Source organism: Homo sapiens, chromosome 14, assembly GCF_000001405.40.
Source record: "Homo sapiens chromosome 14, GRCh38.p14 Primary Assembly".
NCBI classification, from domain to species: domain Eukaryota; kingdom Metazoa; phylum Chordata; class Mammalia; order Primates; family Hominidae; genus Homo; species Homo sapiens.
In genome coordinates this window covers 87966221-87982089 of record NC_000014.9, presented here as the reverse complement: position 1 = coordinate 87982089, position 15869 = coordinate 87966221, and the positions used below count along the sequence as shown (strand labels likewise).

Genomic DNA, 15869 nt, shown 5'->3' with positions numbered 1-15869 from the left:
ACAGTTATTTATTTTGCTGGTTGTGACATAAAATTCAAGCAAAATCTTAACAATGTTTATATTCCTGATATTAAAGCATATGTAATTCTTTGTGAGCCCCGAATTACCTTTGTCTAAAGAGTTGTGTTGAATTTTTCTATTTTAAAATTCATTAGTTTTGGAATTCTGATAAATTTTATGAAACAATTATATCATTTTAGATTTTTAGAACTTCAAGAAATGTAGCTTTTTTTCTTTGTCTTTTGTCAAAACTTATGGCATATATTCTAATTCTTGTTTTCTATTGGAGTGTGTTATAGTACATGTTTCTCTTTGTGATTAGCAAAGAGGTAGCAGTAACATCTGCCAATTGTGTTATTTTTGTTCCACTTTTCCTATTTATCTCCATTTAATTCTCACAACCTTACCTATGAGGTAACTACTGTAATTGCTATTTTCCAGGAAAGGAAAAACAGAATAATAACTTCTGCCATTGGAAAAAAAATGGCAGTTTCACTTTTCAGGTGGAGCTAATCTTTAGTTTACTTTTCACTTCCTTTTGTCTTCTTGTATGTATCTTTTCTCTAAGAAATATAATTTTGGGACAGTATTTTATTTCAAGTTTTCAAAAATTTTTATATTAATTTTTTTTTATTTCCATAGGTTTTTGGAGAATAGGTGGTATTTGGTTACATGAGTAAGTTCCTTAGTGGTTATTTGTGAGATTTTGGTGCACCCATCACTGGAGCAGTATACACTGAACCAAATTTGTAGTCTTTTATCCCTCACCTCCTTCCCATCCTTTCCCCGAGTCCCTAAAGTCCATTGTATCATTCTTATGCCTTTGCATCCTCGTAACTTAGCTCCCACTTATGAGTGAGAACATACGATGTTTTGTTTTCCATTCCTGAGTTGCTTCACTTAGAATAATAGTCTCCAATCCCATCCAGCTTGCTGCAAATGCCATTAATGCATTCCTTTTTGTGGCTGAGTAGTACTCCATTGTATACATACACCACAGTTTCTTTATCCACTCGTACTGATTGATGGGTTTTTGGGCTATTTCCATATTTTCACAAATCCATCAATCCTGCTACTGGGTATCTACCCAGAGGAAAAGAAGTCATTATACAAAAAAGATACTTGCACATGCGTGTTTATAGAAAAAAATTTTCTTTGAATTGGATGTTTTATGTTCTTAAGTAGATAAGGTTCAATACATTTCTTTCATCTCTTCATTCGGTTAATCATAGAGCATTTATTTGCTCAACACTGGTTTGTCAGGCATTGTGTGTATGGTTATAATATAAGGATAGAGAATACTGTTTTCTGCCCAAAAGGATTTTTTGTATTGGGGAGGGTGGTTATAAAGTCAGATATAGACAATTAAAATGTGTCATAATTTGGAATGTGTCAAATAATGGAATAATACACCTACAGGGTTCTTAAAAGGCGCACAGAGGAGATGACACCTCTCCCTGGGTTGATTAGGGAAGTCTTTTAGAGGAGGTGATGTGTAATTTGAATCTTCAAGAACGGATGGATAGGAACTCTCCACTTTGCTAAGGCAGGGGCATATCATGTGCAAAGAACTGAAGATTGAGAGGTAAAGGGATATGGGGGAAAAACAAGTCATGAAAGATGGATTAGACAATGGAGGAAGAGTGGGGGCACTGACCCCCATCAGTAAGCTAATGTATTCACTGGAATAATGGCTTTTTTTTTTTTTTTGACAGAGTCTCTCTCTGTCACCCAGGCTGGAGTGCAATGGCGCCATCTTGGCTCACTGCAACCTCTGCCTCCCGGATTTAAGCAATTCTCTGCCTCAGCCTCCTGAGTAGCTGGGATTACAGGTGCCCACCACCACGCCCGGCTAATTTTTTTGTATTTTTAGTAGAGACGGGGATTCACCATCTTGGCCAGGCTGGTCTTGAATTCTTGACCTTGTGATCCGCCCGCCTCGGCCTCCCAAAGTGCTGGGATTACAGGCATGAGCCACTGCGCCCAGCCAATAATGGCATATTTTAATTAATCTGTAGTTGTAGGCGTGGAGAAGGCATAGATTGAGAAGATCTATTGCAGCCAGAGCTAGGTACTCAAGGGCAATTCCAGGTTGAAGTATGCTGATGGGAGTGTGGTGGTGGGAGCAGATTGGGTGGGGGAGGTGGGGCAGTGGAGCTATTAATAAGATTGGAGCACAGGGATTGTAAGTGGAAAGTCATGCCTGCTGTGAGCACAGGTCTGATAAGAGCAGTAAGGGGACAGAGCAGAAGCCAAGTTGGTGCATGTATACTGGATAACTCTGTAATGAGGTAGATGGTGTTGCTACAGCATCTTCATAGTGAAAGGTGATGAACTTTTTAAATACCCAAATTTGACATTTCAAAGCTTAAGTTTTATTTTCTTGTGATTGTACACATGTCTCTCTTGTGGTCATTTCATTTGAGGGAAACATTAAAAGTATTACGGTTTCCATTTTCTTTTAAACTAATGAAATAAGACAGGGCTATATTTTATGTTATTTGAACTTTTTTACTATTAAGAGTCTGTTGCTGACTCCAGTGCATTCTAATTCAACTAACCTGGTTTGAAAGACTAATTGTTGCTCTAAGACATATTTTCAGTGTTTCAGACAGTTCAGACTTCATTTCCTTTTTTTTGAACCTTGAGTTTTCTTGCAGTAAAATCTCTCAGGATACAAAAACTTTTTACTTTGTGTTTGCCATTTTTTTCCAGCAAGATTTTATTGGGATCTGTGTTCCGTTTGTTGAAATGCCTGTTGCAGGCCAGGCTCAGTGGCTCGTGCCTGTAATCCCAGCACTTTGGGAGGCTGAGGCAGGTGGATCACCTGAGGTCAGGAGTTTGAGACCAGCCAGACCAACATGGTGAAACCCCATCTCTACTAAAAATACAAAAAAATTAGCCGGGCATGGTGGCAGACGCCTGTAATCCCATCTACTTGGGAGGCTGAGGCAGAAAAATTGCTTGAACCTGGGAGGCAGAGGTTTCAGTGAGCACTCCAGCCTGGGCAAAAAGAGCGAGACTCTGTCTCAAAAGAAAAGAAAAGAAAAAAAAAGAAATGCCTATCACAAAGAGTTCAATAATGACGAATGTAGGTGCTCAGATTGGATAACCTTAATGAATGTATATTCTTTATGGGATAATAAGATGACCCCTGGAAAGAATAAGGATTTGTTTTTAATAGTAGAAATAAATATAATACAAAGGAGCAATTTATATAAAGATGACAAGGGTATTGTTTCTTTGAAGTTTTTTTTTTTTTTTGCTACTGATATGTAAGATTTATCGTGGTTTTCAGTGGTGTTCTTAAGTTTTCTAAATTGTGTCTGGAAAATCTCATCTAGGATCTGAGGATAGTGGATGGAAATGGAAGTGCCTGGGTCTTTGGACCTTCATTCACTTCAACCAGAACAAGTTCATTTCCATTTGTCTTATAAATAGAGCTTCTATTTAAGCTTTTTCTGGATGAGAAAGTTCCAAAACAAAAACATAATCTGAAAATATGTTAGATAAAACTGCTCAAAAGAATGCTGTTCGTAATGACTTATGGATGGAAACTTATTTAGAAATCATAGCATGTAGACTTGTAAATTTTGGAATGTTATTCAAATACAATGTATAAAAAAGTAAGCAGTCTTACTGGGATTTTCTAGGACTAGGACTAGAAAGACTAGATCCATCCGTAGTGAAAAATGCAAATTTGACTAAGTTGCTCTTCCTCTTCTCTGTAAGAATAAAGAGGCCGGGTGGAGTGGCTCACGCCTGTAATCCCAGCACTTTGGGAAGCCAAAGTGGCGGACCACCTGAGGTCAGGAGTTCGAGATCAGCCTGACCAACATGGAGAAACCCTGTCTCTACTAAAAATATAAAATTAGCCAGGCATGGTGCCACATGCCTGTAATCCCAGCTACTTGAGAGGCTGAGGCAGGAGAATTGCTGATCCTGGGAGGCAGAGGTTGCAGTGAGCCGATATCATGCCATTACACCCCAGCCTGGGCAACAAGAGCGAAACTCCGTCTCAAAGAAAAGGAAGAACTTCAGGGTGATGAAATTCAGGATTGATCCTCCTGCTAGAGGGATAGGGGTTCTCAATCCTACTGAATCTTGAGAGTTGGTCTCGGTTTGCTACAAAGGATCTGTTCATGCTGTAGACTTCTAGGGTGTCCTAGAACTCAACTGATCCAGTTTGAAAGATGAACTTAGACTGCCACCTCTAATTTTCACCCCGTTTTCTAAAATCCTATAATATATCTATTTTAAGAAACTGTCTGTTGAAAAGTATACCATGGATTTAATTGGAGCTTTTATTATTTGCGTCCTAAAAGAGCACATTAATTGGAAATTGCCCTAGTTCAGAGAAGTTGGAATGTGAAGAGAGAGCTTGTGAAATTCTTTGTTCTTTCTTAATTTCTTCAACCAGTAGTATTGAGCATCTGCTGCTATGTGCCAGAGATTTCCGAGTCCTTGGGGGCTATAGTAGTGGGCTTATTTGTATCCATTCATCAAGAACTGCTTGTGGTATGAAATCTGATCTTCCTGATCCTGAGTAAAATGATGTCTCCTTTTCTCTGCTCTTGATTTGCATATAGGCAATCCATACATTTTGGTATGTACTTGCCCTTTGATTTTCTAGTATGCCCTGTTAGTTTTGGTGTCCTGTTGAGTGTGTTTGCCACCTAAGGGTGAGGGCTCCCTCTGATACTTCTTTTAGAGTCCTCATGGGGCCCAAGCATAGTACTGAGTAGTAAAGTAGGTACTGTTTGTGCTTTGTTTATTTCCTGTTAAAATTTAGCTTGTTACTTTTAATTTTTGTGGGTGGACAGTCCTACAGGTAAATTTTATTTGCTCTCCTGTTTAATAATGGCAGAATATTTGAAGACCGTGGAAAATACTTAAAATGATAAGTTAAAGCATTTTGCCAAATGGTATGATTAGTATGTTACCCATTTGATTATTGTGTCTGCATAGGAGACTTCCTGGAAGAATGCATAGCAAAATAATGGTGGTTATTTCAGGGTAGTACCATTTGATTATTTTTGTTTCATCCCCCCCCCCCCATATTTCTATGGTTAAACGTAATTTTAAAGTCAAAGTGAAAATCCTCTAAAACATTTTACCCCTTGTGTTTTTTTTTTCTTTTTACATTCCTAGTGAAGTAGGTTATCTTAAAGGTAATGCTTTTATTTTCCATAGGAGGGATGTTTCTATTGAGAAAATATAGTATTGAAATTATCATCCATGAGGTCAGGAGTTCAAGACCAGCCTGGCCAATATGGCGAAACCCTGTCTCTGCTAAAAAATACAAAAATTAGCCAGGCGTGGTGGCGCGTGCCTGTAATCCCAGCTACTTGGGAGGCTGAGGCAGGAGAATCATTTGAGCCCTGGAGGCAGAGGTTGCAGTGAGCTGAGATCCTGCCACTGCACTCCAGCCTGGGCGACGAGAGAAGCCTCTGTCTGAGAAAAACAAACAAACAAACAAACAAAAGAAGCTATTATCCAGAACGCTGATTTGTAAAGATAACTTTATCTATCTTGGTCATAAATTCAACAGCTAAAAATTCATTTGTATCCTTTCATATGTTCTGTTTCTTACTCCAAAAGATATTAAGAAAAATGCTGAATTATCAAGGTCTCCAGCGAGTGAAAATCATAGCAAGTGATAATCTCTGGGAGTCCATCTCTGCATCCATGCTCCTTGATGCCGAACTCTTCAAGGTGGTTGATGTTATAGGGTAAGGCATGTTTTACTTGGAAAACTAGCAGTTTCTGATTGCTTGCTCTGTGTATTGACTATCTTTTTCTTGCCTTCTCCCCATTTGATTACATTCTCAGAAGGTAGCTCTCCTGTATTCACTTACCTGAAGCATGCATGGCTCATAGTTCATTATTTTCTCTTTTAAATATATTTTAGGATCTTTCTATGACAAACAAGTATTGATAGCTTTTAAAAAGCATGTTGATGTTTGGAATAATAAAACAGGGCTTTGTTTTAGATTAAGGGGCAGAGTAATACCTGTATTTAATTTTAGAAATTATAAAGGCAAAGTTGTGAAATTAGTTTCAAACTCTCAGATATTCTGTGGTTGGAAGTTCTTGCATGAACACTTTTGTAAATGGTTCATTGTGATCACTGACAATAACTTTTGTCATGCCTCCTTAGTAGTATAGTTTTGATGCCTACTCTTTATTCCATTTCTGCCTTTTAGCACTCTGGGCCCTGACCTCATTGGGTTCATTTTTTTTAAAAAGTGAATTTACATTTTTTCTACCATGACTCAGGATATAAACATTTGAAAAATAGGATATGTATGTTTGTGTGTGTGTGTGTGTGTATGTATGTGTGTAGAATTTGTTCTTTATCCAGTGTGAAGACTGATTGATCTCTCCATGTGCTTTATTTTTTTAATGAAGAATTTTGAATGTACACAAAAATAGGCAGAATAATACAATGAATATCTATGTTCTTATCACTCAACCTCTTGAACTGTGAATCCATGACCAATTCTTCATCCATGCGTCTATCTACTCCTCTTCCTTTCCTGCCTACATTACTTTGAAAGAAATCCCAGACATTATTTCTTCCATAAAAATATTACTGTGTATGTGTCTCCAAAGATAAGGATTATTTTTCTACTTACCATAAACAATACCATTATTATACCTAAAATGTAATAGTTTTTGATATTAAATATCCATTATTATCTTATAGTTTTATTTGATTGAATCTAGATCCATTTAAAATTCATGCATGGTGATTGGTTGATATTTAAATCTATTCTAATCTTTATGTTCTTGCTCTTTTTCTTTCTTTTAATTTGTTGAAGAACGGGGTTGTTTGTCTTACAAACTTTGTGTCAGTCTGGATTTTACTGATTTCAACCCCTACAGTTTAATATAACTTGCTCATCTATCCTTTTTCAATGGTTTTTGAAATTGGTAGTTTAGGTTAGATTTAGGTTAGGTTAGATTTAGGCTTAATTTTTTTTTGCAAGATAAAATTTCTTAATTATATTTAAACATTTTATACATTGAAATTAAAATGAAAGTTTTGCTGTTGTTAAAGCTTTCATAAATAGTTGAAGTCTTGAAGGAAAACAAAGTTGTGTTAATCTTAAATATATTTTCTTATAAAAATATTGCATGAAAATATGGGTTTTACTGTATCTTCATGAAGGACTTGGATATGTACTTCATTTTTTATTGATATAGGTATTTTAATGTAATGAATTTTCCTCTGAGTACTGCTTTAGTTTTATCTCATAGGGCTGTTTTATCATTAATTTCTAATTTTATTGCACTGTGGCCATTTAATACCAAATGTATTATTTACATTTTTTTGGGAAATTTCTCAGGAGCTTATTAAAAAAAAATCTGAAAAAATACCTTCGCTTTTTTCTTGACTATCTCAAGAGCATATTTTGATTTATTAAGATGTATTCTTTATTAGGATACAGAATTGAGTTTATATATAACCTTTTGGTTATATTGTTCAGGTATTTTGTATCTTAACGATTTTGTCCACTTGAACTGTTCAGGGCTACCCAGGTGTGTTTGTTTCCTTATGTTAGTGGGGTCTATTTCTCCTTTCAATCTTAGGCAGTTTTTGCTGTGTGGAAGCTTCTGCTTTGTTATTTGGTACGTAAATACTGGAAGCTTCTGCTTTGTTATTTGGTATGTAAATACTGATGAATGTTTTATCTTCATTATGATTTATTTCTTATCATTAGAAAATGCCATTCTTTGTCTCGTTTAAAGCTTCTTGGCCTGAGTTCTGCTTTCTGTGTAACTAAGAGATCTATGCTTTCTTTTCATTAGGATTTGCCTAATATATTTTTGCCCTTTTATTCTTTACCTTTCAAGGCCGTTTTCTTTTATGTGCATTGCTTGCATATAGCATAGAGTTAGATTTTGCTTTTTTAAAGTTCCTCTGAAAATCTTTATATTTTAATGAATGAGTTAAACTCATTTTTAAATATAACTGATGTTTGTGTTTTCTATACTACTATATTGTCTTTTGTTATTGAATGATTTATACTATCCATGTACTAATACAAGCTATTCTGCTATGTGATTTGTTTACTTTGCACTTATTTAAGGAGGTGTTTCTTTTGTTATTTAGCAAGGTTTGGTTTTTGTTCTGTCAATTACATTTATACTGATTTATACCAGTATTTTCAACTGAGAATAATTTTGCCTCCCAGACGGACATTTGGCAATGCCTGGAAATATTTTTAATTGCCACAAATAGGTAGGGCGGTGCCACTGGAATCCGATGGATGGAGGCCACGAATGTTTCTAAACATCCTTTAGTACACAGGATAGTTTTCCCATAACAAAAAATGATCCAGCCCAAAATGTTAATAGTGCTGAGGTTGAGGAACTGCTTCATACTAATACTCTTGGTTTCTTCTTCGTTTAGTTATTGTCTGTTGGTTTACTATGAGCAATACTAAAATTATTTGATAACTTCTTCCTCCCTTTTTCTCCCCTACCGTGGAATTTTAATTACCAGAATTATCTTAGTTTTAATTTTTGTACTCTTACATGAACTTAAGCTTCTACTATATTGATTTGACAGCTACAAGTTTTAACTGTTTACTCCCAAATAATCTGCAAACTTAGTTTACATTTCACCTTCTTTCCTTCTTGTCCTACTTCATGTAGCTGTATTAGTTGTACTTTAGCCAAGTGTGTAATAGTTATATATATAATTTAATTACTATTTCTTTTAATCTCACTCTACCATTAAACATATTAAATGCTCACCTTCAAGTCCTTTGCCAAAGTTTCTCCCTCATTTTCTTGGATATCAGAAGTGTAATTATCTATTAAATGTCTCAGAAAGTGCTAATGGAAACAATATTTCTTGATGTGTTCAGATGTTTGTTGATGTTTATCTATGACCTTTATACTTGAAGGACAGTTTGACTGGATATAATCCTTTTTTAATTCTCAAATATGTGTAAATATATCATAAAATTTGCTCCATTAGTTATTTACATAAAATGTTGCTATTGAGAATTTTGACTCCAGAGATATTTCCTTTTCCTTATAAGTAACGACACAATTCCTTTATGCCCAAAGAATATTTTTATTCATCTTTAAAGTTTAGTTGTTGTATACACTTTACCATTTCCAGATATATAGTATATGCTCTCTTAATGTCTATATTTAAGTATTTTCTTATTTCAGTAAGGTTTACTTAAGTTATAAGTTAAATCATTATTCCACTCCATTACTTTGGTTTTCTTTTTAGAAGCACCAGTTATACTTTGGTCTTATTTGCATATGCCTTTATTTTGTATTTCTCTGAATTTTTCTCTATCTCTTTATTTATGTTTTCTATTATTTTATCCTTACTATTCTATATTCCTCACTGTGTTTTCCACAGTGTCTGTTCTGTCTTATGTTCCTTCTAGTTTAGCCTTCATTTCCAAAGTGTGTTTTTGAAAATAATTCTTCTATAATTCTCTCATTTTAATTTCCTATATTGCTAACAATTCATCTTTAAAATTTTTAATTGAAGTACAGCATACATACATACATATATAAAAGTACAAAAATCATCGGATAATAGCTTAATGAATTATCACAAAGTGAACGTACCTATGTAACAGCCACCCAGAAAATTATCAGTGCCCAAGAAGCTTGGTTACTGATATCTCCTCTTGGAAAGATTTTTCCTTGGAAATCTTTCCAATAATTAAGCTCTCTTTTTGCCTTAAAGGTAACTACTAATCTGACCTCTGACACCATGGACTAATTTTGCCGGTTTAAAAACTTTATTTAAATGGCATCCTATAGTAGCTGTTATTTCAGCCAATATTATATAAATTTGTGAGATTAATGCATGTTGTTATATATAGAGGTAGTTCATATTTATTGTTTAGCATCCAATTGTTGGATGCTAAATGTAGCATACCACAACTTATCTGTGTATTATTTTTTAATGGTCATTTAGACTGTTTCCAATTTTGGGCTATTGCAATTTTGTTCAGGAGATATTTCTTGGCTCACATCTTCATAGGAAGACTATTCCTCCCTGCCTCATTCATGTTGTGCTTGGCCTGTGCTATATCTGCAGATTTTTGTTTTACAGTTACAGTACTTTCTAGGGTCTGTTTCTGCTGGGCCCCATTCTTCTTAGTGACTGAAAGTTGTTCTCCCTCAAACAAAGCGTTCCTGCCTTATTCAACTTGGATTCTACTTCAAACAGCTTATTTTCATGTTGAAGCTCTACCATTCCTGATTATTTGCTACCTTCTCCTGAAATTGTTATTGCTTAAACCTGTATTGTTCAATACAGTAGCCACTAGACACATATGTTTAGGAAGCACTTGAAATGTGGCTAGTTTGAGTTTAGGTGTGTAATAAGTATAAAATATACACTGGGTTTTGAAAATTGAATATAAAAATATTATTTACAATTGTTTTACACTGATTACATGTTAAGTGATAATATTTTGGATATATTGGGTTAAATATATCATTAAAATTATGTTCTCCATGTTTTTCTGCTTTGTAAATTCAATTAAATTTTTTCCATTTATGTGTTTTATTGTGGTAAAGACCTTTGCTGGTTTTTAATGTGGCTGCTAGACAACTTAAAATTGTCTATGTGTGGTTCATATCATATTTCTACCAGACAGATCTGGTTTGAACTGTTACAGTATTGGGTTTGATCTCCTAATGAATTCACTGTTTTGAGCATTGACCCCTAACTTCAAGCCTGTGAAGATGTTCCCATCTTCCTGAGTTGGTCTTCTATGCTCCCCCTTAGGGTAGGGTCTACTCCTTTTGTGTGAGTACCGGCCAGTCCCCTTTCACTTCTAGTTTCCATATACCATCTGCTGATCCTGGGCCATTTCTGATGCTGCGAGGCTCCTGGGGAGAGTCCCTGTCACCTGGTTTGATGGCAGTGTTATCTGTGAGTTTTTCCTTTCCCTTATCTGGTTGGTCAGTTTGGTTTCAGGAGGAGTACTGAGGAGCTTCAGAAACTGGGCTGCTGTCATGTTCTGCCTTGGCCAGAAATTCTAATTTTTTAAAGTACAAATATGTTCCTCTGTTAGGATAAACTATAAAGTTGGTTTACTTTCATTGATCTTAATTTTGTCTGTTATTGAAGTTTGAAAAATAATGCTGTGAAGTGATAGAGAATGTTTGCCTACTTATATACATTAAAAATTTATATTCTTTTTTTTTTTTTTTTTTTTTGAGACAGAGTCTCACTCTGTCCTCTGTCGCCCAGGCTGGAGTGCAGTGGCGCAATCTCGGCTCACTGCAAGCTTTGCCTCCCAGGTTCATGCCATTCTCCTGCCTCAGCCTCCCAAGTAGCTGGGACTACAGGCACACACCTCCACGCCTGGCTAATTTTTTTTTTTTTTTGTATTTTTAGTAGAGACAGGGTTTCACCATGTTAGCCAGGATGGTCTCAATCTCCTGACCTCGTGATCCGCCCGCCTTGGCCTCCCAATAAAAATTTATATTCTTAAAGAGCCTTTACATTTTGTTGCACTAGTAATAAATCTATACATTAAGAAAGACCCAGATTTTAGTATTAGTTCTGCCTTTCTTTGCTCATATCATGTAATAAATCATTTGGGTTTTGAATGTGGTAACAGTTTCATCATTTTCTGAATGAAGGATATATCACCTATTCCTATAACTTCAATAAAGTTACTTTTTCATTTTATAAATATAATATGCTCATTATAGAAAATTTGGAAAATGTAGAAAAGTATAAAAATAGAATTTCCTCATAATCCTAACATCTACTGATTATTGGTAACATGCTAGCATATTACTTTACAGTGTTTTCTTTAATATAGAAATATATTTTAACCAAATACACCAAACATGCATTTGGCAACTAGACAACTGGATGACAACTAGATGAGTATTAAAAATTAACATTTGGCTGAGGTACCAAAGCTGAATTTCATGGAAATAGAATGGAGTTGTGGGATAGAAGAATAAATCTAAAGTGTAATTTTTTGAATTTATATTATTTAAAAGACTAGTAGCCAGATTTTTCAGGTTGGGCGTTATAGTTCCAGAACAATGATTGCTTAACCCTGTTAGATGCTAGATTTCTGTTGGTATCTTTGTAGTGTAGATTTGCAATATTGAATAGATGCCTGCTTTCACCTGAGTTTAGTGACTCAGTAAAATCTTAGTGGAACCTCATTTTTCTCTAATACTTCTTTTTATGTTCTCCAGTATATATTGTATATTATTTTCTTACTCATGAAATCCTGGGATGCCAAATTGATATTGTGCCCTAATTCATCTTCACTAGGTATAAAGAATTACCAAATAGGATTTTTTCCTAAAAGATTTGTGACCTAAAAGGGAATTAAATAACTAAAAAGTAAAACAAGTATTCACAATCATTCTTTTGATGTTATAAATACTACTACACCAAACTACAAAGATTAGAATTATGATATAACTTAATCTCCATTATTTTGCTTGCATTGTTTTTTGTAAATAATTTTTAAACTAAAAAGTAGATGCTCTTATTCCTACAGTTATTTAGCTAGTGTGCTCTCTTATTGGATTGTCAATCTATTTTCTATTTTACATTTAAAATTTATTGTTTTTATTCCTATAATCAGTGTCTTCCACAATCATCATTATGGGAGTATTTTACTCTTGCAGTAATGAATATGCATTTATACTTCCACCAACTGACTCCCCTCCCATCGAATGATAGAGTGAAGGAGGCATTCATTTTCTGGGGCAGTTTCTCACCTGCTGCACTATTGATATTTTCAATGGATAATTTTTTTGTTGTAGGGGTTGGTCCTGTGCATTGTAGGATGTTTAGCAGCATTTTTGGCCTCTCTTCTCTAGATGCTAGTAGCAAATATCCCTGACCCCAGGTGGGACGGTTGAAAAAAATGTCTACAGATAGTGCCAAATATTCCCTCCAGGGACAAAAATCATCTGGGTTGAGAACCGCCACTGCTCTGATACAGTAATTTAGTTTTCCCAAGGTAGCTTATTCTTTTTATTCAAGAAATAACCATGTGTGGGTTTTGTTTTTTGTTTTTGGCCTGGGAGTAAATGCCAAGCTATCTTTCTGTGTTCTAAGGACAGGAGTAGTGGGGAGAGTACTACTTTATATAAAGGTTTCACTAGTCTTATTTTTGGCCTCCTCCTCACTCGTTTACTATTGCCCCAAGCTCCTTAGCTTCCCCTGGGAAGTCTGAATCTTATCTTTACTTCATTCTCCTCTTGGAGTGTTCTAGGCTGTGGCCCTCTCTGCTACCTCCATCCTTCAACATGCTTCCATCCATCTTGTGAGCTCCAGAAATAGATTGAAATTTCTTATCTATTGATGATTTTCCTTCCTATCCTGTATGCTGTTGTAGGTTTATCCCCTTTTGTTTTCTTTGCTGTCATTTTAATGGCATGCTGAGACAAAAGGGCATAAAGCAGATGCTTAGATTCATTATCTACCTGGAAGCTACCCAACTGTTTTAAAATAGAAAACCTTGGAGAAGACTCGTATTTTTATATACTCAACAAATCTATACGTATATAAGTGCCACGTCGTGACCTTTTTTCATTGACTTCCACCCTTTTTTTTTCTAGGGCTCATTATCCTGGAACCCATTCAGCAAAAGATGCAAAGTTGACTGGGAAGAAGCTTTGGTCTTCTGAAGACTTTAGCACTTTAAATAGTGACATGGGTGCAGGCTGCTGGGGTCGCATTTTAAATCAGAATTATATCAATGGCTATATGACTTCGTAAGTTATTAAAAACCTTTTAGAGTTCTTATCAAAAAAAATTTAAAAACATAAGAGTTAGAAAAAAATGGAATTCCTTATTCTTCCAGCCTAGATTCAATGATTGTAAACATTTTGCCTTGTTAGCGTCATCTATTTGTATACCTATACCTAATCTATATCTAATTTTCTATATTTGAATATAGTCTATATTAAATAAAGTCAGGTTTATTGAGGTATAATTTATATGTAGCAAAATACATGCAGCTCTCTGATTTTTGACAAGCTACTTGTATTTTTAATAATTATAAAGTAAATAGTATATGTAAGGACACTTTATCTCTAAATATTTTAGCATGTGTCTCCAAAACATAAGGATATTCTTTTACATGATCACAGTATCATGTTTTCATACATGAGAGTGTTTTTAATTCTCAGTCTATATTCAGATTTTCCTAATTGTTTCCCAAAAATGTCATTTGTAGCTTTTTTAAAGAAAAGGAATAGTCAAGCACACACATATTGCATTTAAAAGTTACACCCCTCAAGTCTCCTTTAATCTAGAGTGGTTTCCTTATTCCTCATTTTTGATGACAGTGATCTGTTGAAAAGACCAGGCTGGTTGTGTTGTGGACTGTCTGCTTCCCAGCCTGTCTGATTGATTCCTCATGGCATCACTTGATATGTGTAATTGTTTGTTTAAAAAACAGATGTTCTTAAGGGAGAACACAACTATTTTTGTTCCTAAGGGAAGCATTTCTTAAATGCTTTGAAAAACACTTGAATTGTGAATAGATTCCAATTAGCTTTTTTTAAACAATGATAAATAGAACAAAAACAAACCAATATTTATGTATTTGTTGTGATGTTAATGTGGGTTGCTGTATATTGTATTTGTTCTTTTTCTTCTCTTTGTGAAAGAAAAGACACTTAGGAGAGTTTGGTTATAACTTAATTTGGTCTTAAAGGTAAGGCATCTTCATGGCAGAGAATTTAGAAAACTGAAGATAGGTACAAAGAAAGAAGCAAAATCACCTACAGTCTTATGATCCAGAGCTAACCATCCTAAACATTTTTAGTGAATGTCCTCCTGTTTTATATTGGCATGTATACATTTTAAATACAAAATTGAGACCATACTATAGAATCTGTTTAAAAAACTGCTTTTCACTTGAGACGACATTAGGAACTTTTTCTCACATTTACCTATATTTCTACTTCATCATTTTTAATGCATTTTAAAATATTTTGTTACATAAAGCACCATTTCCCAGACTTGCCTTAAGAAGCACCCGAGACACTCGTTGTTATACCTTCTCCTTGGCAGCTGCCCAGACATTGTGAATCAGAATCTACAGGGAAGGCTCCTGGTATTCTGTCCATCTAGTCAGTGCCCTCAAGTGATTCTGATGCCACACAAGTTGGGAAACACTGATGTGGAAAATATATTATTGTTTATTGAATATTCTCCTCTTTTAGAATTGGAAGTTGTCTCTGTTTTAATTAATAGCTTTGTACAAACTGAAATGTTCAATTGTATACAAATATCTTTGTATATGCCCATGACTATTTTCTTAGGCTGTATTCTTAGAAATGGAATGGTCAGAAATACATAGATTTTGAAGGGTTTTGTATGTATTTTACAAAATGCCCTCCAGAAAGCTTGTCTTGAGTTATACATCTATCACTAGCCAGAAAGGATACCACACATCTTGCAAACCATGGGCAAAATTATAAGAACTTAAAATATTCACTAGTAGTAAGGTGTTTTGAAAATTAGGACTATTATTTCTACTTTGTACTGATAGAATTAGAAGGCTTTGATTTGCTAAGAATGTCAGTCTCTTTTTTTTATACTGGATGAGGACTTGATAGGAAAAATAAAATTCTGTGGGTAAGCTTTGTTTTTTTTAATCTGTGAGGGACCCAACAATACCAAGTTCAATAACTTCCCTTTTGTCCTTGGATTTCCTGAGAAGCAGAGAGTCAAAGTTTTAGGGTTTAGCACCTGCTCTGGACTGTTAGGGCCTGATCATCTGAGAAAGAATGGGCCACAAAGCAGATCAGCAATTAGATCCAATTACTACTTATAGATGAAGTGGAATCATATTTAATAGCAATACTACGGCCCAGAC

At 34.9% G+C, this 15869-nt stretch overlaps 1 protein-coding gene across 12 annotated transcripts in view, besides 2 other annotated features; it reads left to right on the top strand.

Moving 5' to 3' along the window:
* The window catches only part of GALC (galactosylceramidase), a 60654-nt gene that overhangs the window by 11578 nt on the left and 33207 nt on the right, over positions 1 to 15869 (top strand). For 10 of the 12 annotated variants that reach the window (NR_187582.1, NM_001201402.2, NM_001201401.2 and 7 more), the window contains 2 exons: positions 5602 to 5732; positions 13600 to 13755. Coding sequence is in view for 11 of the 12 variants with exons in the window: in NM_001201402.2 (NP_001188331.1) it covers positions 5602 to 5732; positions 13600 to 13755 (287 nt within the window). In the remaining variant the exon portion in view is untranslated. Of the gene's footprint in view, positions 1 to 642; positions 677 to 5601; positions 5733 to 13599; positions 13756 to 15869 lie in introns of all 12 variants that reach the window. The other 2 variants (NM_001424076.1, NM_001424077.1) reach the window with 1 other exon arrangement.
* Positions 4614 to 4783: an enhancer, noted in NCBI's record as "experimental_38590 CRE fragment used in MPRA reporter constructs". NCBI's record gives its function as "activates a minimal promoter by MPRAs in K562 erythroleukemia cells, with activity observed for both the introgressed and non-introgressed 14:88443736 variant alleles {active_cell/tissue: K562}" and the evidence as "EXISTENCE:reporter gene assay evidence [ECO:0000049][PMID:34662402]".
* Positions 5768 to 5937: an enhancer, noted in NCBI's record as "experimental_38584 CRE fragment used in MPRA reporter constructs". NCBI's record gives its function as "activates a minimal promoter by MPRAs in K562 erythroleukemia cells, with activity observed for both the introgressed and non-introgressed 14:88442582 variant alleles {active_cell/tissue: K562}" and the evidence as "EXISTENCE:reporter gene assay evidence [ECO:0000049][PMID:34662402]".